General features: G+C 50.1%; 1 protein-coding gene across 9 annotated transcripts, besides 5 other annotated features; it reads left to right on the forward strand.

Moving 5' to 3' along the window:
- Positions 1-5328: 5328 nt before the first annotated feature.
- IL17D (interleukin 17D) lies at positions 5329-26914 on the forward strand. 9 transcript variants are annotated; one of them, NR_169591.1, is made up of 4 exons: positions 7159-7443; positions 7812-8107; positions 20914-21185; positions 25452-26914. NR_169591.1 is itself a non-coding variant. In NM_001385221.1 (3 exons), the coding sequence occupies exons 1-3, from the start codon at positions 7122-7124 to the stop codon at positions 25768-25770; spliced, it is 630 nt and encodes a 209-aa protein (NP_001372150.1). In that variant the 5' UTR covers positions 6908-7121; the 3' UTR covers positions 25771-26914. The 9 variants fall into 9 exon arrangements, 7 of the variants coding, with proteins under 7 accessions (NP_001372154.1, NP_001372150.1, NP_001372151.1 ...); NM_001385221.1 differs by lacking the exons at positions 7159-7443; positions 20914-21185 and adding an exon at positions 6908-7136; NM_001385222.1 differs by lacking the exon at positions 20914-21185.
- Positions 6897-6976: a silencer, noted in NCBI's record as "silent region_5155". NCBI's record gives its function as "represses an Ori minimal core promoter by ATAC-STARR-seq in GM12878 lymphoblastoid cells {active_cell/tissue: GM12878}" and the evidence as "EXISTENCE:reporter gene assay evidence [ECO:0000049][PMID:35858748]".
- Positions 7397-7536: a silencer, noted in NCBI's record as "silent region_5156". NCBI's record gives its function as "represses an Ori minimal core promoter by ATAC-STARR-seq in GM12878 lymphoblastoid cells {active_cell/tissue: GM12878}" and the evidence as "EXISTENCE:reporter gene assay evidence [ECO:0000049][PMID:35858748]".
- Positions 7827-8336: a silencer, noted in NCBI's record as "silent region_5157". NCBI's record gives its function as "represses an Ori minimal core promoter by ATAC-STARR-seq in GM12878 lymphoblastoid cells {active_cell/tissue: GM12878}" and the evidence as "EXISTENCE:reporter gene assay evidence [ECO:0000049][PMID:35858748]".
- Positions 20541-21255: an enhancer, noted in NCBI's record as "NANOG-H3K4me1 hESC enhancer chr13:21290864-21291578 (GRCh37/hg19 assembly coordinates)". NCBI's record gives its function as "activates a minimal SCP1, AML or CMV promoter by ChIP-STARR-seq in naive H9 embryonic stem cells {active_cell/tissue: H9 hESC(naive)}" and the evidence as "EXISTENCE:reporter gene assay evidence [ECO:0000049][PMID:30033119]".
- Positions 21366-21660: a silencer, noted in NCBI's record as "tiled region #1468; K562 Repressive non-DNase unmatched - State 23:Low". NCBI's record gives its function as "represses a minimal TATA promoter and a strong SV40 promoter by Sharpr-MPRA in K562 cells {active_cell/tissue: K562}" and the evidence as "EXISTENCE:reporter gene assay evidence [ECO:0000049][PMID:27701403]".
- Positions 26915-27664: the final 750 nt, after the last annotated feature.

Genomic DNA, 27664 nt, shown 5'->3' on the forward strand with positions numbered 1-27664 from the left:
ACAAAGAAGACCACGCTGTGGTTACATTGTGCTCAAACTGCTAAAACCCACGACTTCCTTAAGATAAGCAGAATTACAAGGACACAGTACTTTCAGAGGAACATTAATAAGATTTATGGCTAACTTTTCAATAAAACTAAGGAACCAGAAGACAATAAAATGGTATCCTTAAGGTGCTGAAAAACAAATTAAAAGTCTGCCAACCTAGATTTATATTCCAGTGAATATATCCTATAAACTTTAAAGTTAAAGAGTTTTCAGGCCGGGCGCAGTGGCCCATGCCTGTAATCTCAGCACTTTGGGAGGCCGAGGAGGGTGGATCGCCTGAAGTCAGGAGTTCAAGACCAGCCTTGCCAACATGGTGAAACCCCGTCTCTACTAAAAAATACAAACATTAGCCAGGTGTGGTGGCAGGCACCTGTAATCCCAACTACTGAGGCAGGAGAATCACTTGAAGCTGGGAGGCGGAGGTTGCAGTGAGCTGAGACCGCACCACTGCACTGCAGCCTGGGCGACAGAGCAAGACTCCGTCTCAAAAAAAAAAAAAATTTTTCAGACAAATAAAATTTGAGAAAATTAATTACCAGAAGACTAGGTCCACAGAAAAAGTCCTACAGGCTAAAGGAAGATGATCCTAGAAAGAAGCATGAAATGACAGAAACTGATCACAAAGTTGAAAAATAATGAAAAGCACCAGAAAGGTATGGGGATATATAAAAGAAAGAATATTCACTATTTAAAACAACAATAATAATGCCTTGTGGAATTTTAAGATACATAGAAATAAAATAATGACAATACTAGTCCAAAGATTGGGACTGGGTATTAAATGAAGTTTCTTATATCATTCAGACAGTGCTAGACCATAATGAGGAGTATTTTGCAGAATGTACAATTAAAAGAGTAATGGTACAACTAATGAATATGGAAAGAATGATAAAATCAGCCAGGTGCAGTGGCTCATGCCTGTAATCCCAGCACATTGAGAGGCCGAGGCAGAAGGATTGCTTGAAGGCAGGAGTTTGAGACCAGCCTGGGCAACAAAGCAAGACACTGTCTCTACAAAAAATTAAAAAATAAGCCAGGCACAGTGGCAAGTGCCTATGGTCCCAGCTATTTAGGAGGCTGAGGTGGGAGGATCACTTGAGCCCAAGAGTTTGAGGCTACAGTGAGCTATGATGGCACCACTGTACTCCAGTCTGAGTGGCAGAGCGTGACACTATCTCTAAAAATAAATAGATAAATAATAACTAATAGATAAATAAATAAAATGAAAATCACCACTTTGCAACCACCACAAAATTAATCCAAGCAAGAATCATCACCGATTGCTAAAGCAAGTGAAGGAAAGTTTGATGAGAATAGCGTATTTACATAGCCCCAAAGTTTTCCCCCATGAATTACTTATTAATTATAAGAGGAAGAAAAATTTTATACTGGAGAAACCTGGTGCTACCTTAATCATGACCAAAGTGAACACAGCCAATAATGGGATGAATAAAATCCTTATGCCCCTGATGTGAGACACTGAAAAGATATGAGATTACGTAGCCAATATTCCTGCCAAAAAAACTAACCTGAACCGAATCATGAAGAAATACCATAAACTGAAGAACATTTGACAAAATAACTAGCCTCTACTTTTCAAAAATGTCAAGGCCATGAAAGACAAAAAAATGTCTGAGGAACTGTTCCAGATTAAGGAAGACTAAAGCAGGCTGGGTTCAGTGACTCACACCTGTAATCTCAGGATTTTGGGAGGCCAAGGCGGCTGGATCGCTTGAGGATAGGAGTTCAAGACCAGCCTGGCCAACATAGCGGGAACCCCCATCTCTACTAAAAATACAAAAAATTAGCTGGGCCTGGTGGTGCATGCCTGTAGTGCCAGCTTCTTGGGAGGCTGAAGAACGAGAATCAGTTTAATCCAGGAGGTGGAGATTGCAATGAGCCAAGATTGCACCACTGCACTCCAGCCTGGGCAACAGAGTGAGACTCTGTCAAAAAAACAAAAAAGGAAGGAAGGAAGGAGGGAGGGAGGGAGGGAAGGACGGAAGGAGGGAAGGAAGGAAGGAAGGAAGGAGAGAAGAGAGAAAGAGAGAAAGAAGGAAGGAAGGAAGGGGGGAGGGGAGGGAAGAGGAGGGGACGGAAGGGGAGAGAAGGGGAGGGGAGGGGAGAGGAAGGAAGACTAAAGAGACATGTCAACAAAATGTAATGCATGATCCTTGATGAGATCCTGGACTGGGGGAATTTTGCTTTAAGGGACATTAAAGAGACAGCTGGTGAAATGGGAATAGGAATGTACAGATGCTCCTCAACTTATGATGGGGCTGTGTCCTGATAAACCCATTGTTAAAAAACACCACACGTTGAAAATACATTTATTACTCTGTTATACCAGTCATAAAGATGAAAAATCATAGCTTGAACTATCATTAAATCCAGATGCTCCTCGACTTACCATAGGGTTATGTCCCAATAAGCCTATCACAAAGTCGAACAATCATAATTGAACAATCATAAGCTGGAGACCATCTACATTAGATAAGTATTTGTAAAATGTCTTAATTTTTAGAATTGCACTACGGTTACATAAGTGAATGTCTTTGTTCCTGAGAAATACACACTGAGGTGCTGTGGGACAAAGGGTCCTGATTTCTGCAACTCGATGGCTCAGTGGTCCAGAAGAAAGCACAGTGAAAAAGCAATGTGGAGAAATGTGAACAAATAGTGGAACTGAGTGAAGGGTATGTGGAGTTCCTTCATATTCTTCTTACAACTTTTCTATAAGTCTGAAATTATTTCAAAATAAAAGTTTTTTTTAAAGCTAATGTAGCTGGGTGTGGTGGTGTACACCTGTAGTCCTAGCTACTCAAGAAGCTGAGGCAGGATGATGGCTTGAGTCCAGGGGCTCCAGGTTATAGTGGGCTATGATAGCACCACTGCACTCCAGCCTTGGTGACAGAGCAAGACCCCGTGCCTAAAAATAATAAATAAAAATAAAAAAGCTAATGGAGGACAAAATGTAATGATGAAAAATACTTGATTAATGCAAAGAAAGGCAGGTAAAGGAGAAATAAAGGAATAAAGAGCAGATGAACAAAGAGAAAACAAGCAACAAGACAGGACTTAAACCTATTTATATTAGTAATTACGTTACATTAGTAATTATAAAAATGCAAACTCAATTACATTAATAATTAGTAAATGCTAGTTATGTTTAAAAATACAGCAAATGTAAATAGAATATTCCAGTTAAGTGACAAAGATTATCAGACTATTAAAAAACAAGACTCAACTATATGTTACTTACAAGAGACACATTTTAAATGCAGTCCTGCACCACATGACATCATTTCAGTCAAAAACAGACCACATATATGATGGTGGCCCCATACGATTATAATACCAAATTTTTACTGTACCTTTTCTATATTTAGATACACAAATACTTACTATTGTGTTACAATTGCCTACATTATGCAGTACAGTAACATGCTGTACAAGTTTGTAGCCTAGATGTGTTGTAGCCTAAACTACACCCCACAGAGCCGAGTTGTATAGTAGGCTATACTCAGTTTAAATACAACCTAGGGTGTTCACACAGCAACGAAATCACCTTACATTTCTCAGAATGCATCCCTGTTGGTAAAAGACATGTGACTGTCTAAAGGCACAGATAGGTTGAAAAAGAAAGGATAGAAAAAGAATGCTCATCAAGGCCGGACGTGGTGACTCACTCCTGTAATCCCAGCACTTTGGGAGGCCAAGGCCGGTGGATCGCCTGAGGTCAGGAGTTTGAGACCAGCCCAGTCAACATGGTGAAACCCTCCCTGTCTCTACTAAAAATTCAAAAATTAGCCCAGCATGGTGGCACGTGTCTATATTCCCAGTTACTCGAGAGGCTGAGGCAGGAGAATAGCTTTAACCCGGGAGGCAGGGGTTGCAGTGAGCCGAGATCACACCACTGCACTCCAGCCTGGGCAATGAGTTAAACTTCACCTCAAAAATAAAACAAAATAAAAATTCAGAACCTTTGCTGTAAAGGGGAGTCAAGTGGGACCTGGGGTCAAGAAAGGGTTTATCAAATGCATCAGGAAAGAAGGTGGGAGACATCAGACTGGGTGGGAGTAAGTCAGTGCATTTGCTGGTTGGAAGAAATGTAAAAGCTCTCATCTGTGGTCTGTGGAAGGTGTGAGGAACGAATTGGGCAGTAGAGACTTGAGGAAAGAGAATATGTAGATTAGTGATACTGGAAGAAGACCATAACTGCAGAGGTGTAATACGATACTTATGTTGAATGTTAATCTGAGATTTGTGGTCATAACTCAGAACTGAGTCTACTCAGCTCAGTTGTATGATTTTTAAGAGTTGGGATTCTAGGCAATTACAACAGAGAAAAAAGGAGAAAGGGATTAAGGGTGTTTGCAAGGGCGTGGCGACAGTGTCGAACTGTGAATCTAAACTAGACAAGAAAGGACATAAGGACTCAAGGGTGGAACGGTTAGTGAGAAGTGGGAGAAGGCTGGATGACGGCAGAAAACTGCAGGAGTGGGCGAAAACAGAAGGCACCTATGTCAAGGAATAGGATATTTGAAATCAGATGTTTGGCTGTATTGCAGTTATTGGTGATGACGAAACCTTGGATATGACCCTATGACTTGACAGTTGAGATGAGATGGGAAATAAAGACAATTGGGGCTAACGTAGTCACTTGGAAATCAGCATGTTAAATTGTCTCTGTGGAGGTTAAGGTGCCAGGAATGATCAGCAGGAATAGTGGTAGACCCAGGTGCTAAAATCAGTGAATCAAGGGAGTGACCAGCAAGGTGACAGCAATGAGAGCGCTATCAGTAGGAACATCCAAGCACAGTTTTTTTTTTTTTTTTTTTTTGAGACGAAGTCTAGCTCTGTTGCCCAGGCTGGAGTGCAGTGGTGCAATCTCGGCTCAATGCAACCTCCACCTCCCGGGTCCAAGCGATTCTTCTGCCTCAGCCTCCTGAGTAGCTGGGATTACAGGCATGCGCTACCACACCCGGCTTTTTGTATTTTTTTTTAGTAGAGACCCGGTTTCACCATGTTGGGCGGGCTGATCTCGAACTCCTGACCTCGTTATCCGCCCGCCTAAGCCTCCCAAAGTGCTGGGATTACAGGCGTGAGCCACCATGCCCGGCCTCAAGGACAGCTCTTTAAGGAAGAGAAAGAGGTTTGGGTAGATACGAACATCAGTAACCCAAGATTATTAGTATGGAAGGAGCCAACCACACACCGGCTTTTGGAGTTACGGTGCCTAAGGATGATTTAAAAGATTTTCCCCAACAGCTTGCCCCATGCTAAGCAGTCTTGCAGCTGTGCTGGTATTGGGTGTGCTGAGTAAACCAGGGGATGAGGGACTGGAGAGGCTTCAAATGAAGCTTGCGTGGCCACATTACAGATATGTTGGTTTTAAGGGAACACGATGAGCCTGCTTTTGAGTATGTTGTTCCCTTTTTTTCACTTGTATGTCTTAGGTTTGAACTTACTAACATGCTTATTTTGCATCTTCACAAATATGTTGAAATTTGAGGGGAACTCATAAACATTTGCACCTATTTATGACTCTCAACTGATTAGTCTCACAAATATCAAATTTGTTCTGCCAAATAGGTGAGCATTTTCAGTCATTTGTGATCTTTCACAAAATGAAAACTGCTGGAAAGTAAATATTTTCCTTCCCACTTCCAAGGTAATCCGGGGGGGTGGTGAGGAAGAGAGAAGCTGCCATGTTACCAGACAGTGGAAAATACTTTGTTGAATAACATACAGAACTAAGTCTGGTACCATGTCACCTCATATAGGAATGGATGCTGAAATGAGACAGACTGAGTATTTCTATGAAACCCTCATAATGATACTCTCTTAAAAGCCTCCCACGCTTCCTTTTTTCCAATAAAAAATAAGCAGTATTTGAGTACTGAAACCTTTATTCCCATTTTACTGGAAACAAAGAACATGAACAATTTACTAGTCAGAAAAAAAGTGTTTTATAACCCAAAACAAATATTTGCCAAGAGCTGTAAATTGCTTAAATCGCTTAAACTGGAGATTTCAGTGAGATTTTTAGCAGTAGATTACTAAGCTCCTTAGTTATAGAACATTCAATGCATAGGAAAGTGTTTTTCCTACAAAGCATAACTGAAATGTAGTTTAACTAATGGTTTACAATTCAGTCAAATACCAAAGCTGCAAACCATTTAGGGAGTCATCAATTACATATTTTGTACACTTTCAAAAAGCTTACAGCTGGGATGGGTTGTTTATTTTCAAAGCATGACTGCTTTAAAATGATCATATTCTTTAGCCTGCCACCTAGGAAGCATTAAGCATTTACTTGCAGAATGAACAAACGAGCACGTTGTCTTGTGTTATGAAGTATATAATATAGTTCGTTTTAGTTTCTTCATTCGCAGACTATCAGGCTCATTTCACGTGACTGCTTGCACTTAGAACTGAGTTATCACGGAGTAGGAACTCTCCAACATCGTCGTCATAGACCAAGAGATGCCCATGAACAGCCATGAAAGTGCCAGTCAGGGAAGTATTCAGTGCTTTGTTGTAGAGTTGTTGGATAGAGGCACAGGATCATTTCATGTTGTTGAGGAGAAAGGAGCAACAGCCTCCTCCCACCTTATTAAAAATAGAGATTTAAAAAAACCTCTAATTTCCTCGAAGTACAGAATCTCAAGAGGTAGCTCTAAGGAGAATCCCTCTGGGTTTGAGCGCATTCCTCTTCCAGGGGGCCTATTCTTGGACTGCTTTCCTTAATAGAGAAATCTCTCTGAGCCAAAATCGGCCTCCCCCAATTCCATCCTGTCGGCCCCACTTTTCTGCTTCGGAGACTTCCAAGCCAGTCCCCACTCCTCCTTCAGCCAGTCGGGCCCGCACCCGCGCCCGGCAGGGCCAGCCCTCTCCTCCTCCTGCGTGGCGCAGCACAGGCCCTGAGCGCGCGACCCCAGGCCCTGGGCGCCCCGCCGCATGCTCGCGGCTGGAAGCCCCAGTTTGCGTGGCCCTTCGGGTTATTCCGCTCAAGAGCCGCCGCGTCGCCCCATCTCGGCGCGAATCTGAAAGCGCTTTCGGGGGAGAAGATGTTGGGGGCACTGGTGAGTACACTGCACAAGTGACAAAATGTTTTCAGCTCCTGGAGGCGAAAGGTGCAGAGTCGCTCTGTGTCCGTGAGGCCGGGCGGCGACCTCGCTCAGTCGGCTTCTCGGTCCGAGTCCCCGGGTACGAGGAAAGACCACAGGGGGCTTCTCGCGGAAAAGCGGGCCGCGGACCCTGCGCGGGCTGGCTGGGGCGGGCGGATGACGAGGCGCAGGGGCAAGGGTGGGTCTGCGAGGCGGCGGGTCCGGGCGTCTTAGGCTCCGGGGCTCCCTCGCTGGCGGCGGAGCAGGGATGGCGCGCCCGGGGGTGAGGGTGCGGCGGGTCACAAGCACTCGCAGCCCGCGGCGCAGCAACCCGGCAGGCACACGCACACGTGCACGCGCGCCCCGCACCCGCCCCCCGTGCGGCCCCCGGCTCGGGGCGGCGGCGGCGGCGGGGGCCGGGGGCGCGCGGGCCGGCGCCGGGCTGGGCCCCGGGGACCCCGCGGGCGGCGGGCAGGCGGGGAGGGCGCTCTGGGGCCCGCCCGCGCGGCTCCCATCCTCCGGGCCGGCCTCTGGCTCCGCGGGGCGAGGGGAGGCGCCCGCCGGCTCCGGGCGCCGCGGGCGGGACACGGGCGCGGGGCGCAGGCGGGCTCCTCCGGCGCGTGCGGACGCTGAGCGTGGCCTGTCCCTCAGGTCTGGATGCTGGTAGCCGGCTTCCTGCTGGCGCTGCCGCCGAGCTGGGCCGCGGGCGCCCCGAGGGCGGGCAGGCGCCCCGCGCGGCCGCGGGGCTGCGCGGACCGGCCGGAGGAGCTACTGGAGCAGCTGTACGGGCGCCTGGCGGCCGGCGTGCTCAGTGCCTTCCACCACACGCTGCAGCTGGGGCCGCGTGAGCAGGCGCGCAACGCGAGCTGCCCGGCAGGGGGCAGGCCCGCCGACCGCCGCTTCCGGCCGCCCACCAACCTGCGCAGCGTGTCGCCCTGGGCCTACAGGTGAGCCGCGGGCGCGTCCTGGCGGGGCCCGGCAGGTGGGGAGGGCAGGGCTGGGCGGGGAGAGTGGGTGGGGCCGGGCCGAGGCCGGGCAGGCGGGGAGGGTGGGGCGGGGAAGGGGAGGTGGTTGGGGCGGGGCGACGCGGAGGGGGCGTGGCACGCGGGGCGAGGCGGAGCAGGTAGGGGTGGGGTGGTGCGGGGCGAGACAGGGTAGGGTACGGTAGGGTGGGGTGGGGTGCGAGGGGCGCTGCGATGAGGCGGGGTGGGGCGGGGCAGTTGGAGCACTGGGGGGCAATTCCTAAACTGCGAAGGCCCACCCCCACCACCTCCCTTGAAGGAGTCCTGCTTCCTCTCTTTACCCTCCAGTATTTCCTATGCAACACGTATCTCTTGAACACCTCATCTCCTCCAGGTTGGATGGGTCCGCAAGGCACTAGCTGGGGACCCTTCCGTGATGTGGACACAGTGATGTGGACCGTACTCTGCACAGGGGGCCCGGGGAGGTGCTGCTGGGGGGTGCGCGGTACTATCCACATATTTCCTGAGTGCCCCTGTGGTCCAGAGGCTGCTGGAGTGGAGCCCTGGGAAGCGCCCTCTGAGCCCCTCTAGTTTAATAGCCTAAGGAAGGAGTGGGGATAATTGGGAAAGAAACCACACCATCAGGCAGTGCATGAAGTGACATGAACAGTTTCGAGAGTATTTTGGTCTTGGAACAGAGGTCATTTCAGAAGAAAGGGACAGCCTGCAGAAGGGGAAGGCTGGAGAAGTTGGGGGCGTGTAGGCAGGGTGCCGCAGTGTCCTCAGCAGGCACCTGTGACCGTCTTCCCTCTAGCTGGAGCAGGAGGAGCTGCCCTAGGGGGCAAGGCCTCCCAGGGCCACAGAGGTCAAGAAAGGCTTCGTGAAAGAGCTGAGTCTTGATGGAGGAGAGCAAGTCGCCTACAAAGGCAGTGCTGAGGGAAGGGACAGCTGATAGCAAGCGGGAACAAAGCGCTTGGAAAATGGGGAGAGCCACAAGGCGAGCGGGGGCGGTGGGGGTGGGGGGGCGTAGGCGAGGTGTTTGCCTGTGGGGTGGGCATCGATGTAAGGCTGGAGACAGGTGCAGGAGCTGGATCCCCGCCTTGTCAGCAGTGCAGAGCTTCACCCTCACGCCTGGAATCCCAGCACTTTGGGAGGCCGAGGCAGGAGGATTTAAGTCCAGGAGTTCGAGACCAGCCTGGGAAACATAGCGAGATCCCATTTCTGCAAACAATTTTTAAGGATTAGCGAAGTGTGGTGGCACGTGCCTGTGGTCCCAGCTACTCCAGAGGCTTAAGTGGGAGGATAGATTGAGCCCGGGAGGTTCAGGCTGCAGTGAGCTGTGGTGGCGCCACTGCCTTCCAACCTGCGTGACAAAGCGAGACCCCGTCTCTAAAATAAAAATTAAAGAGAAAAAAAGTCTTGACACTTGAGATGGAGGAAGCCATACAGCCACTCTGGTTTAGGAGGGTGTCCCAATGGGGCATGGATTGGACAATGCTCTCCAGCACTTCCATCCAAAGGATCTAGGGCTTCACTCAGGCAGCGCGGTGGGAAGGGGAGACTAGGATCAGCGTGAAAGATGCTCATTAAAGAAGACAAGTGCTGTGGAGAGTCAGAGGAAATGTGATGATTTTGTCTAAAACGCATCTGGGCTTTCCTGGAGCCTCTCCCTGCCGGCTGCTGGGTAGGGAGATTTCCTTTTACTCAACAACACACAGGACCCCTATGCTGTCCTGGGAAGCCAAGTTTTAGGGCCTCCTGCCTCCTGGCTACTCTGCAGAGGACCAAGCTCACTGTGGCAGAGCCCCCTCAGAGCCCCTGCCCACGGGGAAGTTGGGTGGGACCCCTCCCGCCCTTCTCACTCCTGTCCTTCAGCTGGAGCCTGCAGGGCACACACATGGCGCCATTCATTCTGGTATCTTGGTGCTCTTGCTTTTCCTCTCTCTTCCTCCATTTCCAGGACCTGAAGGGATGGACTACGGCATTCTTCTTTCTCTAACCTCGTGTTATGCTTCTGATATACCAAATAGGATTAAAGCCACATAAGGAATCTCTCAGAACCAGAGATTAACTTCTCTGGACAGAAGCTGCTGGCCCTGCTTTCTATAGCAGATTCGAACTCTCAGGCAAACCCGTGGCTCCCCACAGGCTGGGCCAAGGGCCTAAGAGTAGTATATAGCCTCCCAAAGGCATGTCTCTCATGTTTCTGGCTTGGGTTGTTGATGGTATTTGAGCAAAATGAGAAAATACACTTAGGAACAAGTGTTGTGGGAGGAAATAATGAATTTAGTAACAAGCCTGTTGAGTTTTGCCTGCCTGAAAGGCGTACAGGTGACAATGACTGGTTGGAGCTCAGGAGACAGAGCAGGGCTGGAGGACACATGGAGAGTTAGCAGCACTGGCATTCTGTGTGTGGGAAGTTAAATTGAGTTGCCCTTGCTACAGATGACACCTATGTCGCCCCAGGCAGGATCTGGGAGCCGAGGGAGGTTATGGATGAGAATGACACACAGGGTTCGGGGATCGTGGTCTGGGCCACCCAGATCTGCCCACATGTGGAACCTCAGTGCTGGGTGGTCCCAGGAGCAGGAGTGGCAGCTGCAGCAGGGTGGCTGAAGGTGTCATGTGCATCATTTTTCATATTATTTAGCAACAGTGATGAGATCACTCCCCATGGGCAAACGGAGGTGGGTGGCTTATATTTGCTGAAGGAAGGACAGTCTTCAGGGGATGGCTGCTGGGCTGGGACTCCAGATTGCTGACTGCCAAAGCTGCTCCTGCATTTTCCTGCCAGGAGAGCCCTCTCTGCCCTCCTCCCTCCAATCACCTCTCACCATCTTTTGGGTTATTGGGAAGATTAGAAAAAGTGAGACCCAGCCAGGCCCAGTGGCTCACCTGTAAATCCCCGGCTACTCAGGAGGCGGAGGTGGGAGGATCACTTGAGCCCAGGAGTTTGAGACCAGCCTGGGCAACATAGTATGAGACTTATCACTACAAAAAAAACAGCCAGGTGTGGTCATGTTTGCCTGTGGTCCCAGCTACTTGGGAAGTTTGAGCCAGGGAGGCTGAGGCTGTAGTGAACTATGATTGTGCCTCTGCACTCCGGCCTGGGCAACAGAGTGAGAACTTGTCTCAAAAAAAAAAAAAAAAAAAAAAAAAGGAAAAGAAATAGTGAGCCAATGGAAGTGTGGAGCCTCTACTAAAAGATGTTGTGGAAGGACAGGTTTTTTCTTTTAGACAGAATCTCGCTCTGCCACCCAGCCTGGAGTGCAGTGACACAGACAGATCAATGCAGCCTTGACCTTCTAGGCTCAAGGGATCCTCCTACCTCAGCCTCCCATGTAGCTGAGACCACAGGTGCGCACCACCACATGCAGCTAGTTTTTTTGTTTTGTTTTTTAGAGATGGGGGCCTCACTTTGTTGCCCAGGTTCGTCTTGAAGTCCTGGGCTCCAGTGACCCTCCTGTCTCAGCCTCTCATAGTGCTGGGATTACAGGCGTAAGCCATGGTGCCAGGCCAGGGCTTGTTCCTTGGTGGAGTGTCTGAGGGTGGGGCCTGGGTAGAGGAGTGCCCACCTGCAGGCTGGGCACAGGGTCAGGTGGTATTTCTTTCTTTCTTTCTTTTGAGACAGGGTTTTGCTCTGTCACCCAGGCTGGAATGCAGTGGCATGATCTTGGCAGACTACAACCTCCATCTCCTGGGTTCAAGCAATTCTCCTGTCTCAGCTTCTGGAGTAGCTGGGATTACAGGTGCATGCCACCACGCCCAGCTAATTTTTGTATTTTTAGTAGAGACAGGGTTTCGCCATGTTGGCCAGGCTGGTCTCGAACTCCTGGCCTCAAGTGATCTGCCTGCCTTGGCTTCCTAAAGTGCTGGGATTACAGGCCCAAGCCACCACGCCCTAAAGGCACAGCAGTCAGAGAGAATGCTGAGAAAGACAGATAGGGAGATGGACTGAACGTCAGGAGTACTGATGGGCACAGCAAGGATCACTTTAGGTGGATAAGTTTTACAATAGGCATTTGGAAGGTGGCTTTCCATACGGATGGAATGGAGACCTGGGTCATTCAGTAAATGGTGTTGGGACAGCCTGGGCCTCACTCCTCTGTGAAAATGAATTCCAGATGAATCAAACATTTAAATGTAAAAAAACCACAAAAGCAGAGAAAAACACAAGCAATTATATTTATAATCTTGGAGTGGAGGAGGCCCTATTTAGCTGCTCACAGTCCCCAAAAGTCACAGAAGACAAGATTGAGAAATGAAGTTACATAATTACACACCATTTCTTCTTGGTAAAGTAAAATAAGAAAAATACAAGGGCAAACTGGGAAAAAATGTTTGCAACCCAAGTCACAAAGAGCTCATTCCTAAAGAGCTCCCACAAATCAGTAAGAAAAGGACCAGTGACGGCCGGGTGCGGTGGCTCACGCCTGTAATCCCAGCACTTTGGGAGGCCGAGGCAGGAGGATCATGAGGTCAGGAGATCGAGACCATCCTGGCTAACATGGTGAAACCCCATCTCTACTAAAAATACAAAAAAAAAAAAAAAAATTAGCCAGGAGTGGTGGTGGGCACCAGGAGGCAGAGCTTGCAGTGAGCTGAGATTGTACCACTGCACTCCAGCCTGGATGACAGAGCGAGACTCTGTCTCAAAAAAAAAAAAAAAAAAGAAAGAAAGAAAAGAAAAGGACCAGTGACATCATGGAAAGATGAGCAAAGATCGGGACTGTTCCCGGGGAAGGAAGGTCAAATGACTCAAACGCTTGACACAGAAAGCAACGCTAGCATCAGGCATCAGTGAAGTGCATGTGGAGACTATACTAAGAAGCCCTTTTTTTTTTTTTTTTTCCTGGCACCCAGCAGGCTACGTTGGCAAGGTTGTGAAGGAAAGGCATTCTCATCCAAGTACAGGGGTATGAATCAGCACAGCTTTTATGGAGGGCGATTTGGTGTTAAATATCAAGATTTTAAATTCACACACCCTTTAACTTAGCATTTCCCCTTCAGACACACTTGCCCACGTGCCAAATGATATGTGTACAAGGATATGTGTTCACTGCTGCAATGGCAAGAGATTGGAAGCTACCTAAACATCCACCAACAGGCACCGAGTTAGATATTATACACTATAAGGAAGAATGAGGCAGCTCTAAAAGTCATAAGTGGATCAATCACTCACCAATACAAAGCGGGGAAAGGGGTATATAGCATGCTGCCATTTCTACGTTAAAAGGGAAAATATGACGTAATATGTACATATGACACATTCTGTGTTCAGCGCCTACACATACACGCACACAGGCATCCTTAGAACGTGGGTTCTGTGTGCGTCTTATGAGGGTCTCTGGAGGCTGGAGTTGGGGAGGAGACCTACTTTTTACTCTTGTATCTGTTAAAGTTTTCTGCCATGTGCACATATTCCTTATTTCAAAGACATGTTAGTTTTTAAGTTGAGAGCAGAAAGGGAATTTCTCCAACCACGAGAAAAAAGCAGATACTGAGGAAATGAAGCTTCAGCACAAACAACAGCCTGGGACATACCAAGGGCATTGGTTGAAGGGCACCGTTTGCTCTTAAAGGCTCTGGGGCTTCCTGAAGAGGCACTGCAGACATCTGGATGGATTTTCAGAGTTCCTGCGACTCCATGGCTGGTTTGTGCTCCTGGTGAGGAGCCCAGACCTGGAAAGATGAAGGTATTGGCCCCAGGTGACAGACAGGAAATAGTAGAGCCAGGAGTCATCCTGGACCTCTCTGGTTCCGTCTAGCCCAAGTCCCACCCAGTGTGCTGTTAGAAAACAACATTCAGCTTCCAGAATACAAAAATATTTTTTCACTTACTTTGTGGCATAATGTTTGTTTCTCTTTAGCTTTAAAAACAAAAATGCCAAAAATAAAGTCAATTGGGTTGCTCAGCAAGTTTTTAAAAGTCAGATTGATATATTAAGAAATATGTTGTAAGAACACTGAGGTTTATTGAAGTTTAAGATATACGTCATTCATTTATGATGAAACCCCAAAGACAGGCTGGGCGCAGTGGCTCACACCTGTAATCCCAGCGCTTTGGGAGGCCGAGGTGGGTGGATCACCTGAGGTCAGGAGTTCAAGACCAGCCTGAGCAACATGGAGAAACCCCATCTCTACTAAAAAAAAAAAAAAAAAAAAATACGAAATTAGCCGGGCATGGTGGCACATGCCTGTAATCCCAGCTACTTGGGAGGCTGAGGCAGGAGAATCACTTGAACCTGGGAGGCGGAGGTTGCGGTGAGCTGAGATCGCGCCACTGCACTCCAGCCTGGGCAACAAAAGCAAAACTCTGTCTAAAAAAAAAAAAAAAAAAAAAAAAGAAACCCCAAAGATAAACACCTACCAGTACAGTACTCTGAATATTTTTTAACAGCTTATGTTTTCCAATTTTTGGTAGTCGTCTAAAGATAACTTTTCTCTAGGTTATGAATAATGTGCAATAATTTATTTTTAGGCCTTGTTACTTTCTTCTTTAACTCCTTTCCTCTGGACAATTTAAGAAACTACACCTAATTTATTTTACAGTAAACAACTCTATGGATAGCTGTAGTCGGGAGGTAAACAAAGAAAAGGACAAGGAGTGTCCTAGGCTATTTTCTGCTGCCATCACAGATACCACAGAGCGGGTAATTTATAAAGAGTACAAGTTGGCCAGGCGTGGTGGCTCACGCCTGTAATCCCAGCACTTTGGGAGGCTGAGGTGGGTGGATCATTTGAGGTCAGGAATTCAAGACCAGCCTGACCAACACGGAGAAACCCCAGCTCTACTACAAATACAAAATTAGCTGAGCGTGGTGGCACACACCTGTAATCCCAGCTACTCGGGAGGCTGAGGCAGGAGAATCACTTGAACTGGGGAGGTGGAGGTTGCAGTGAGCTGAGATCATGCCATTGCACTCCAGTCTGAGCAACAAGAGTGAAACTCTGTCTCAAAAAAAGAAAAAAAAAAGTACAAGTTGATTTGGCTCATGGCTCTGGAGGCTGGAAAGCCCAAGGGTCTGGTGCTGGCATCTGGTGAGAGTCGTCCCACGCTGGAAGGTGGAAGCAAGTGACAGAGAGGGAAGGGCGGAACTCATCCTTTTACCAGGAACCCCTCCAAGGATGGCAGAGCCCTCCTGACCCAGTCACCTCTTCAAGGCCCCGCCTCCCACACTGTTACCATGGCAACTGAGTTTTTAACACATGAGCTGTTGGAGGGACACAGACCATAGCAGAGAGTAAAGGAGAGTAGGGAGAACAGGGGACAGGAGGTCAAGTAACTTTCAAATAGACACCCTAGGTCACCAACGGCATTCGAAGAGGCCATGAGACCCTCCCCAGCAGCCCAGTGCAGGTACGGTTCAGGTACCCCGGCTGAAGGAAGCCGGTATTTTCCTGTGGAGAACCCAAGTACCAGAATTTCAGCAGATGACATTGGGGAAGAGGGGAAATCACAAGAAAATAAATTCCCTTCAGGGATTTCATTTGAAAAGCGCCACCTTGGGATACAGATGTGGGATACAGACTGGAAGTCACCTGAATGACCGCCTATAGGCAGCTAGTCAGATAAAATGCTATACAGCTGTGAAGACTGGCGGCTCTCAGTGTACCTAAGGATATCCCCTACTTACTAAATGTGCCCAAGTTCAGCTTCCAGTTACCTGTGGGCAGTTCAGCAATGGCCCATTCACTGCGACCTGTTTCCCATGTGGGCTGTCCATTAATTATTCCACTTGACCGATATTGAAACCCAGGGTCACATTCATTCATCAAATATTGTCTAGGGGCTGGTGGGCAGGCCCCCTGGAATACAGCCAGGAACCACAGACCCTGACACTCCTCCTGCAGTCACAAGGTACTGTTCGCATCACTTTCTCTCCATCAAATCTTTTTTAAAAAATTTATCTAAGGGGTTATAACATTAGAGAAAGATTAGGAGTATAATGTTAGAGAAAGTTATCCTCACTACAGCTATCCTTCTTGTTAAGACACCAGGCCGGGTGCAGTGGCTCATGCCTGTAATCCCAGCACTTTGGGAGGCCAAGGCGGGTGGATCATATGAGGTCAGGAGTTCAAGACCAGCCTGACCAACATGGTGAAACCCCCATCTCTACTAAAAATACAAAATTAGCCGGGTGTGGTGGCGCACACCTGTAATCCCAGCTACTCAGGAGGCTAAGGCCAAGAGAATCGCTTGAACCCGGAAGGCGGAGGTTGCGGTGAGCCGAGATCGCGCCGTTGCACTCCAGCCTGGGTGACAGAGCAAAACTACGTCTCAAAAACAAACTCCCATTTATCCTCTACCCCTTTAACAAATGCATGTCTCTCTTTTATGCACTTTCAAATGTGTGTGCCGACGCTAAAAAAAAAAAAAAACCCCACCCTGCAGGCTGAGACCCCTGTGGTACGCGCGTCCCCACTGTCTTGAGCACCGGCTGGCGAAGGTGTCTGCAGCGGCGTCTCTGGCCGACAGGGGGCAGCACGGCGCCAGCGTCCTCGCCCAGCGCACTGGCTGCCCGGGCCGGCCCACCGCGTGGTCTGTGGAATTTGGGGATGGGAGGTGCTTTTCTTTCTTCTCTTTCTTTCTCTTTTTTCTTTTTTCCTTTCTTTTCTTTCCTTCCTTCCTCCCTCCCTTCTTTCCTTCCTCTCTCCCTCCCTCCCTTCTTTCCTTCCTTCCTTCCTCCCTCCCTCCCTCTTTCTTTTTTATAACGTTTTTCCTTGGGTCCCTGCTTCCAAACTGTGGGTTATTTTCTAATGTCTTAAAGCAAACTAAGCCACGCCTTCACGGAGTCTCTGCACATAGTACATGAGCACAGGTGCAGTGTCCTTTCGCCGCCATCCTCTAATGACAACGCTTTGTTGAGAAAACGAGGGCGTTAGAGAAAGGAAGAGTGAAGGACAGAGGGCTCTGCTGCCTGGCTGGGAAGGTCTCAGTCACAGCCTGTGAGACGGCCGGCGGGACATTGTTCATCCTCATTCATTCTTGGAGAAAAAGAGAAACTCATTGTTTAAAGCAGCTTATTTAAGAAATGTTGGTATTTTCCCCCTAAAATGTTTGTATGCTTAAATGACCTTGAACTGGCCAAGGTACAGCACAGACCCCGCTACTCCCCCCTTGCCCCAGCTTCTTAAAATACAGCAGGCTCTACTGCACCTATCACTGTTTCACAGGGTAAAAATAAAAGCATTGTCAGGAGCATTGTTATGGGATTAAAGTCTCTCGTTCTGAAAATAGGTATGTTCGTTTTGCTTTGATAGTTATTTTCCCCTTACTGCCTGGGTTTTACTTTAGCATTCTTAGAGTAACCAGGGATGATGATAATATTTCATTCCATCAGCGCCTCTTGCAATGCTCCTCACCTGAATAAAATGCATGTGCCCTAATGCCAACAGAATGATTTGGGCAAATTCAGGAAGTTCCCCACATGCCATGAAGTGAAATTCCTCATGGTGTCTGTCTTCCAGAAGTGACACATGAAAAACTGGCAATGAGCACACTGCTCACTAAATAAGAGGCCAAAGAGAAAAGAATCTACCGGAAACTCTTCCGGAATTAAAGAGTCCAGGCTCATGTTGTGATAGTGATTATTCCTCATAACCAGTGTTGTGGCGACAACTGACTCACTGGCGGTCGGGTGGACTCCCCCCTTGGTGCGCACAGGCGCCTGCCCCAAGGACAGACACTTCAAAGATGGCTCTGAACCCAGATTCTGCAGCTTCCCCCGGGCGGAGAGTTAAGCCACCCCGTGGGCATGAGTCGTGTTTTTCCTTTGAAGAGATGTTTCCCAGCTGCAATGAATGTGTGGCATTTGCCATGACAAAATAAAACCCTTCAAGAAATGTGGGTTCTCATTCTCATTTCTTTTTCTCCCTTTCCCTCTGTAAAACTTTTTTTTCTGAATTATCTTCCAAATTCTTTTCCAAAACATTAGTCTTTCTCTCCTCTTCCCCTACCTCCCAGATGAACGAATTTCCCCAGAATAAATGGATTTCCTTGTTGTAGCCTCACTGTTTACCAAGTGCCTGGCTGGCTGCTAAATAGCCACAAACCGCACACCGCATCTGTTATTACCGTGAGGCTTAGGCAGCTTGGCTGTGGGGGGCAGTGCGGGCGGCTGGGCTAACCCAGGAGAGCTGGAAGACTTTGGACAAGTCCGCTACTCTGTTGGTGCCTCAGTTTCCTCACGAGTGAGAGGAGAGGGTGGGCAGGCTAAGCCTTCTTTTTCCTAATAGCCCTGAGCCAGCTCAGTTGGCAGAGGAGCCGGGTTCATTCTGGAGCCCTGACCTTGATGTTAAGTTCAGGATTGCACCAAAGTCAACCTCAGTACCCAGACAGGGCAGGACTGACCGCTAGTTCTCCTTGGCCTGGGGAAGCCAGTGGGGATCCGTGCCCTGGGCAGACCTCATTGCTATCCCAGGCTGATTTTTCCATGTCCTGTTTCATGAGAAATGCACGACTGATGTTTTCTTGTGGGGGCCAGAAAAGCATTTTTCAGAGCTTCTTGGCAGCACATATTGAAGATCTTTGGCTCCCTGGGGCCTTAGCTCATGGAAGGAGGGTGGAGCTGATGGGTCTGCTGGCCATGGCTTGGCAACAGGGAAGCTGTTTGTGGTCTCCAGTTACTCCCTGGCCAGCCACCAGAGCCCTACTATACCCGGCCCTGGCCCCACAGCCGTCCTGGCTGCACATAGTGCTTCCAATGTGGTGGTCCTGCCCCTTCCTTCCCCTGTGGTCTCAAAACCATTCCCCCTCCCAGCTGCTGGGCTTGCTCCAAAGGGAAAGTGAGAGATCGGAAGGCTAACACAAACCTGTCTTCGTGACTCATTACTTCTCTTAAACATAGAGACCAACTGGTCTATACCAGGGCTGTCTATTAGAATTATCTGGGGAGGTTTTAAAAAAGACCAGCCCCCCGCTCCACTCTAGAGCAATTGAATCAGAATCTCTGGGGGTGGGGGGGACACTGATTACTATTTTTTATAAGCTCATTTGTGTGCCTCCAGGGAAGCCATCCCATTGGCAACACTGATTGCTTACTGGGTTAATAATGACCTTATGTACTCATTAGAGGAAATGTAGAAGTCCTGGGCCGGTATGGTCATGAAATTCACACCCACTTGGGAAATGCAATCATCCAGTTGTTTGCCATCAGCTGCAAATCGATAGATAGATCCGAGCTTAGCCAATGGCTAGCTAGCCTTTAGGGATAGCGCTTACGTTGTTGACTGTGCAGCCAGAAATGGGTTTCTGCTGATTCATTTGAATCAGTGACTCCCCAGCTTAAATGAGTGAAACAGATCACTTGGACAGCTTGTTAGTGTGGAGAGCTTCCGACTCCTTGGATGTAGTGTTAAGTCTGAGAATTTGCATTAAAAATTTTTTTTAACTTAAAAGTTTTATTTTGAAATATAGATATATCTATACATCTTTTTTTGTTTTTATTTTTTTGAGACAGAGTTACACTCTGTCACCCAGACTGGAGTGCAGTGGCGTGATCATGGCTCACTGCAGCCTCGACCTCCCAGGCTCAAGGGATCCTCCCATCTCAGCCTAAGGAACTAGGACTACAGACACGCACCACGACGCCTGGCTCATTTTTATTCTTTTACGTATTTTTTGTAGAGATAGAGTCTCACTGTTGCCCAGGCTGGTCTCAAACTCCTGAGCTCAAGAGGCCTCCCAAAGTGCTGCGATTACAGGCATGAGCCACCGCGCCCGGCCAGAATCGACACTTTTAACAGGAGTCCCATATAGGCCTCATGCCGGTGGTCTGAAAACCACATTTTGGAAATCTTGTTTATGCCGCCTTCTTATCTCTTGCAAAGGTTAGTGTTTTTCACAGGACTCTCAGCTCTTGGAGAGGGATGCTACATGTCCCTCAGTGTCCCCAGAGGACGGCGGATGTCTTGGTATTACCATGGTTGTATAACGTCTTGAGATCTGCTGGCGTGAGTCTGCCCCCTCATTTCTTTTTCAAAATTGTCTTGAGTATTCTTGGCCCTTTTCTTCTCTCTCTATGAATTTTAGGATCAGCTTGCCAAGTTCTCAGAGAAATCTTTCTGGGATTTCGTTAGAATTGCACTGACTTTATAGATTAATTGGAATTTTCCAAGACCTTAGAGACTCAATGTATTGCCAGTGTCTTTTCTAAGCATAAAACATTGGTGAAAATGTCACATGATCAGTCCTGCCGTTAGGAAATTGTGGGAAGTGCTCATCAAATCCATCTCCTTCACTTTGCAAAGAACCAGGCAAGGTGGAGTTCTCTGCCCAAGGTTACTGGGTGGTGACTAAGTTGGGCTACAGTTTTAGGTCCCAGACTCTTAATGGCTGCATCCTCCCCTTTTAAGAGAGTCTGCTGGGTTGAACTCATTGACCTTCGGATCTGGCGAGCCACGCTACCGAGGCAGGCTGTCTCCACGGACACATTTCGGTGCTTGTGGGTTCTAGCCAAGATTGGAGAAGGCATTGCCCCCACTTTGTTCCTGGGATGGGGTCTTTCAACTGCTGTGAGATAAACAGTCATCCTGAGCCCCTGCTGCTCTGAAATCATTTCATGTTTTGCAAGGTGGGAGGGTGAGCCACATCAAGGCGCGTGTGCCAACCAGCGCCCCAGCTATCCTTGGGCATCAGTTAGAGGACACATCAGGTGGCCCGATCCTCCCTCGGAATGTGTTCATTGTTTTCAGAGCTCCGGAGCCGCTTCAAATTGTTTCCTACCGCGTCCGGCCCCAGGGGCAGGGCTCTTTTTCTGTCTCTGCTGTCACTTACATTCCTCTCCCAGCTCAGTTTCCATCACCTCTAATCATCCCTGGAGGACTCGTCCTTTGTTCCTGGATTAAGCCGGGCCACCTGTCACTCGCTCAAGCCAAGCTTCCCACGTGGCCAGGGACACTTCTGCGATCCCATCAGAGGGGAAAACTTGATGTGTTTCAAGAATGCCCTGGTGCCAAGCTTCTGCAGAGCAGCACGCAGAAAATGTGAAGACAAAAGAATGACTGCCCACAGGAGGCGCGGCACAGGGCAGAACTCTGCTCGGTTGCTTGTCCGTGTTTGGTAAGAGAAAAGGCTCCCGTTGCAGTTTCTTGCTGTTTCTTTTTGGTGGCAGCTTTCCTTAACCGAAAAGCACACCTAGCTGTTGATGTCCCCAGACTGCAGGCAGGAGGCTGGGGTGAGGGACTTCAGCTCTGAGTCTGTGCCAGCGAGGGCCCTAGGGCTTCTCTCATGACCTCTTTCCCAGGCCCCCGCTGGATCCTTCCAAAGGCACAGGCCTTGTCTTTCTGCTTCTCTGGGACTGCAGGCCTCAAGCCCCCGCGCCCTGGGCAGCAGGGCATGGTAGATGCGCGGCACCCCCCTTAGCGGCACCTTCCCATTGTGAGAGAACTGCCTGAAACCCGCCCCTGTTCATGCCTCTGATCTCCCATGGCCCACGCAGCCATGGGGGGAGGTGTCTTGTCAGAGGCCTTACTTAGCCCAGAGGCATCCCAGCGGCGGGGGCAATTTCAGTCCCAAGTCCAGTGCAGGGCTGCGCTGTATATTTTTAGGCGGATGAAACTCTGACCCTCACCGCATCCAAGTGACTGTCAGTTATCACCTACAAAACTACCGGGGGTGACGCCTGAGTGACAGTTGTTCATGAAGAACCCAAACGATGGTGAAATATGAGCAGTTACCTACATACCGAGGGCACGGAAAGACCAGTCCCAGGTGACGAGAACTCAGAGGGCCGGGCGATGCCCTCACGTCACTCACCCCACCCGTGAAGAGACTGAGTCCACAGAGGAATGCCTGACCCGCCCGCCCGCCTTTGGTTTTCCTGCGGCACATCCTCGGTACTGTTCTGACAGCCTTTCCAAAACCACATCTCACGTGTGTGCAGCTGCCCGGTGCCCTTCATGAGTTTCCAGGAGCAAGATCACATACAGACTAACTGCTGTGGTCTCCAGGGCTCCTGTGCACCTCTCGAATAGCTCACCATGACTCCAGCCTGCTGCATGCCGCGTGCGTGTGAGCACGCAACCTGTCCATGCTTACACACACGCCCACAGATGCCCACGCTCACACGCACCTGCCCACTTACACACACACGCCAACGCTCACACACATACGTGCCCGTGCTCACACACCCGCCCATGCTCACACACCCACACACACCTGCCCACGCTCACACCTGCCCCCACACACCTGCCCACACTCAGACACACTTACCCCCCACCCACACACCCGCCCATGCTCACACACCCACACATACCTGCCCATGCTCACACCTGCCCCCACACACCTGCCCACACTCAGACACACCTGCCCCCCACACACAGGCCCACGCTCACACACCTGCCCACTTACATGCCCACGCTCACACACACCTGCCCACTTACACGCCCACGCTCACACACACCTGCCCACTTACACACATGGCTACGCTCACACACACCTGCCTGTGCTCACACACCCGCCCATGCTCACACACCCACACACACCTGCCCACGCTCACCCCTGCCCACACACACCTGCCCACACTCAGACACACCTGCCCCCTCACCCACACACATGCCCACACTCACACACACCTGCCCGTGCTCACACACCCGCCCATGCTCACACACCAACACACACCTGCCCACGCTCACACCTGCCTCCACACACCTGCCCACGCTCAGACACACCTGCCCACTCACACACCCACACATGCCCATGCTCACACATGCCCACACAGACACCCGTGCTCACACACCTGGCCCACACACACCTGCCCATGCTGACACACAACTACCCATGCTCACACCTGCCCATGCTCGCACACCTGCCCACACTCATCCACACACCTATCCACACTTACGCACACCTGCCCATCACGCACGCCTGCCTACACTCACAGATGCCCACACCCACACCTGCCCACTCACCACACACGCCCATGCTTACACGCACCTGCCCAAACATGCCCACACACACCCCCACACCTGCCCACGCTCAGACACCTGCCCACACTCACACCTGCCCATACTCAGATGCCCACACTCACCCACACACACCTGCCCATACTCACACACATGCCCACGCTCACCCATCTGCCCACACACCTGCCCATGCTCACAGCTTCCCACACTCACACCTGACCACACCCACTTGCCTCGCTCACACACACCTGCCCACACACACCCACACACCTGCCATACACACATGCTCACACTCATGTTCACGGTCAAATTTCTGTATTGTCCCATAAATGATTTTCTCTATTTTCTAATACTTCATTTTGAAATAATTTCAAACTAACACAACTATTGTGAAATTAGGACGAGTTCCCATATACCATTTACCTGGGTTCCCCAAATGTCAGCATCATCACTCAGCAAAATGCTGAGATCGGAAAATGAACAGACACGACACTATTATCTGCCCCGCAGGCCTTCTTTAGGGGGTCCACAAATGCCCCTTTCTGCCCTAGGATCCAACCTCCAGCAGCCACTCGTTTTGTGGAATGTCCCCGAGTTTGGGTTGCATGTGTTTGATAAATGATTGTGCAGGTGGTGATACTGGGAGTGGAAGTGGCTGGCTTCATGTCACTGCGCCAGGACGGCAGGTGTGGGCCCAGCCAGGACACCCCCGGCTTGTGTTCCTCTACTCAAGGCGCTCGTGTAGGTTCCCTCCCTCTTGTTTTTCTCCTGGAACAACACGGGATATATCAAGTTTCCTACATTCCGTCCTTTGTTGGTCACGTCCTCATAGTGTCATTTCTCTCTATTTCTGGTAGCCTGGCTCCATCAGGTTCAAGTTCAGGTTTGACCCAGCCCCCTCAAGCCTCTGCCCTTCGTGGACTGAGGATGCACCCAGTCTCCACCATCAGCCTTCTCCCCGGGAAGTCGGTGTACTCTGCTCTCCTCTGCCTCTATTTGTTCTCCCTCCATGTGCCCCCGGAGACTATCATCTTATTTAACCACCATCTATCGGTGGACAACTTAAAACTCTGCCTTCAGCCAAGAGCTCCCTCTGCGGCTCCAGCCCATCTTCCCCCCAATAGTCTGAGGGATCTTTCTAAAATTCCATCTGAGGGACACTCTTTCTCGTTGTACTTCCTAGTGGTGACTGTCCCTTGACCCTATGCTTTGACATGAGACCTGTGGAAAAAAATTCTACAACTATTTGGTATGTTGGAGGGAAGCATGAATAAATGAAGTCAGATTGTGCTTTTTTGTTTTTGCTTCAGAGACAACTTGTTCATTTTGCAGGCGGTCCCCACTGCCCTCTCCGGTGCCTTCACCCTGGGCTCCCACCTCTGCGGCTCCACTGCCAGCAAGGCCACCTGGCCAAGCTCCTGATCCCTGCGCTGCCCCATCCTCTGGCCACCCCGACTGGAAGCCTTGGAGTCATTGCTGACTTTCTGTCCGACCTCATCCCCCACATTCAAACAGTGGACTAGTGCTTGGAAATGTCCCTCTGGGGTTCCGCAAGCACAAGAGGTGGCTGGGTGCAGTCCTGTGTCAGTCACCGGCTTCCTCTGATGGCAGCTTGGCCGGTGGCCTCGGGCTCTTCCTACACCAGACCACCTCCCTCCCAACCCCCCCCCCCCTCCCCCGGCAGACTCCCTCCTTAGGTCCTGGCACGGAGGTGGCACTGGATCCATTTCCAATGGCGAGAACACACCATTTCTAGACTCTTCACCTCCCAGGCGTGCTCTAGTCCCTCAGACACAAACGGAAGAAGAGGATCCTATGCCTTCCTGAGCCCCCGAACCTCACAGGCCACTGAGAGCTGGCACTTGGCACCAAATCTCCCTGATGGAGAAAGCTCTTGTCCTTCACTCCCGTGGGAGCCCTGCAGGCCTCTGGCTCCCGGCCCAGTCAGCACTGTCCGCCCCCAGCCCCTCTTTCTCTAGACCTGCCCCAAGCCTGTCCTTGAAACCCGCCCTACCTGCCCCCAGCCTAGGCCCCAGGTGGACGCTCCCCTCGGGGTCTGCAGAGCCTTGCCGGCGGGAAGCAGCGGCTCCGGGGCCCTAGGCAGACAGGGCGCCTCATTCTGTTCTGGTGGCACCTGTGGGCACCCGTGCAGGCGGCATAGATTTTATTTTTCTGCGCACATTAGCCCAGACTCTGGAAGTAGTTTTCCGGCCTGGCTCAGGGCTGGCTAGATGTGCCGTCATTTCAAATGTAAGGAAGCGCCGGGCAGATCTGTTGTCGGCGGGGGGCCTCGCACGCACGCGCCCGCAGGCGGAGGACAGGACAGTCCCCGAGGCCCTCCCCGGTGACTCTAACCAGGGATTTCAGCGCGCGGCGCGGGGCTGCCCCCAGGCGTGACCTCACCCGTGCTCTCTCCCTGCAGAATCTCCTACGACCCGGCGAGGTACCCCAGGTACCTGCCTGAAGCCTACTGCCTGTGCCGGGGCTGCCTGACCGGGCTGTTCGGCGAGGAGGACGTGCGCTTCCGCAGCGCCCCTGTCTACATGCCCACCGTCGTCCTGCGCCGCACCCCCGCCTGCGCCGGCGGCCGTTCCGTCTACACCGAGGCCTACGTCACCATCCCCGTGGGCTGCACCTGCGTCCCCGAGCCGGAGAAGGACGCAGACAGCATCAACTCCAGCATCGACAAACAGGGCGCCAAGCTCCTGCTGGGCCCCAACGACGCGCCCGCTGGCCCCTGAGGCCGGTCCTGCCCCGGGAGGTCTCCCCGGCCCGCATCCCGAGGCGCCCAAGCTGGAGCCGCCTGGAGGGCTCGGTCGGCGACCTCTGAAGAGAGTGCACCGAGCAAACCAAGTGCCGGAGCACCAGCGCCGCCTTTCCATGGAGACTCGTAAGCAGCTTCATCTGACACGGGCATCCCTGGCTTGCTTTTAGCTACAAGCAAGCAGCGTGGCTGGAAGCTGATGGGAAACGACCCGGCACGGGCATCCTGTGTGCGGCCCGCATGGAGGGTTTGGAAAAGTTCACGGAGGCTCCCTGAGGAGCCTCTCAGATCGGCTGCTGCGGGTGCAGGGCGTGACTCACCGCTGGGTGCTTGCCAAAGAGATAGGGACGCATATGCTTTTTAAAGCAATCTAAAAATAATAATAAGTATAGCGACTATATACCTACTTTTAAAATCAACTGTTTTGAATAGAGGCAGAGCTATTTTATATTATCAAATGAGAGCTACTCTGTTACATTTCTTAACATATAAACATCGTTTTTTACTTCTTCTGGTAGAATTTTTTAAAGCATAATTGGAATCCTTGGATAAATTTTGTAGCTGGTACACTCTGGCCTGGGTCTCTGAATTCAGCCTGTCACCGATGGCTGACTGATGAAATGGACACGTCTCATCTGACCCACTCTTCCTTCCACTGAAGGTCTTCACGGGCCTCCAGGTGGACCAAAGGGATGCACAGGCGGCTCGCATGCCCCAGGGCCAGCTAAGAGTTCCAAAGATCTCAGATTTGGTTTTAGTCATGAATACATAAACAGTCTCAAACTCGCACAATTTTTTCCCCCTTTTGAAAGCCACTGGGGCCAATTTGTGGTTAAGAGGTGGTGAGATAAGAAGTGGAACGTGACATCTTTGCCAGTTGTCAGAAGAATCCAAGCAGGTATTGGCTTAGTTGTAAGGGCTTTAGGATCAGGCTGAATATGAGGACAAAGTGGGCCACGTTAGCATCTGCAGAGATCAATCTGGAGGCTTCTGTTTCTGCATTCTGCCACGAGAGCTAGGTCCTTGATCTTTTCTTTAGATTGAAAGTCTGTCTCTGAACACAATTATTTGTAAAAGTTAGTAGTTCTTTTTTAAATCATTAAAAGAGGCTTGCTGAAGGATACACTGGCTGTGTGTATTTATCTCAATTCTGCTTGATGGGCCAGACTAATTGTTAGAGGAAATCATATGTTACCTAAGGTCTTCACTTTATCTTGAGGTTTAAATTCATCGAGATTTGATTTGGTCTTAGAAAGATCAACTAGTCAGGTAAGGTCAATGTCTTGGATCTTTTGTGACACCCCCAAGACCAGGAAATGTCCTTTATTCACATGCATTTCACTCCCAAATTTCAGCTACCACAGAAAGACCGACTGGCAGCCTTGGTCTGATCCAGATGAATGGGTCACTCAGAGACTTTCAGCTCCCACTAAAATGGACAGAAATTGTGCATGAAAAACACATCACTGAGCAAATCCACACTGTCCAAATAAAAAATTCAAAATGGAAAGCAGTAGCTATGAATAGCTCCACAGACTACACTTCCCCATTCAACCTCTGGGGGAAGAAAAGGGATCCTCTGGTGGTGGTAAGTCTAGAACACATTCCTGTCCAGGAACCAGAAGGTCCACAGCAACAACAACACAAATCCATACATTAAAAAGGACTGCCTTTTTTTTTTTTTTTTTTTTTGAGTCGGAGTCTCACTCTGTTGCCCAGGCTGGAGTGCAGTGGCGCGATCTCGGCTCACTGCAAGCTCCGCCTCCCGGGTTCATGCCATTCTGCTGCCTCAGCCTCCCGAGTAGCTGGGACTACAGGCGCCCGCCACCTCGCCCGGCTAGTTTTTTGTATTTTTAGTAGAGACGGGGTTT

The sequence above is a fragment of the Homo sapiens genome, chromosome 13 (assembly GCF_000001405.40).
Source record: "Homo sapiens chromosome 13, GRCh38.p14 Primary Assembly".
Taxonomy (NCBI): Eukaryota; Metazoa; Chordata; class Mammalia; order Primates; family Hominidae; genus Homo; species Homo sapiens.

Bases quoted from the DNA above. Each gene is read 5' to 3' on its own strand.
- IL17D (NM_001385221.1), top strand. The intron at 8,108-25,451 runs GTGAGCCGCGGG...CTCTCCCTGCAG, and splicing joins GTGTCGCCCTGGGCCTACAG to AATCTCCTACGACCCGGCGA.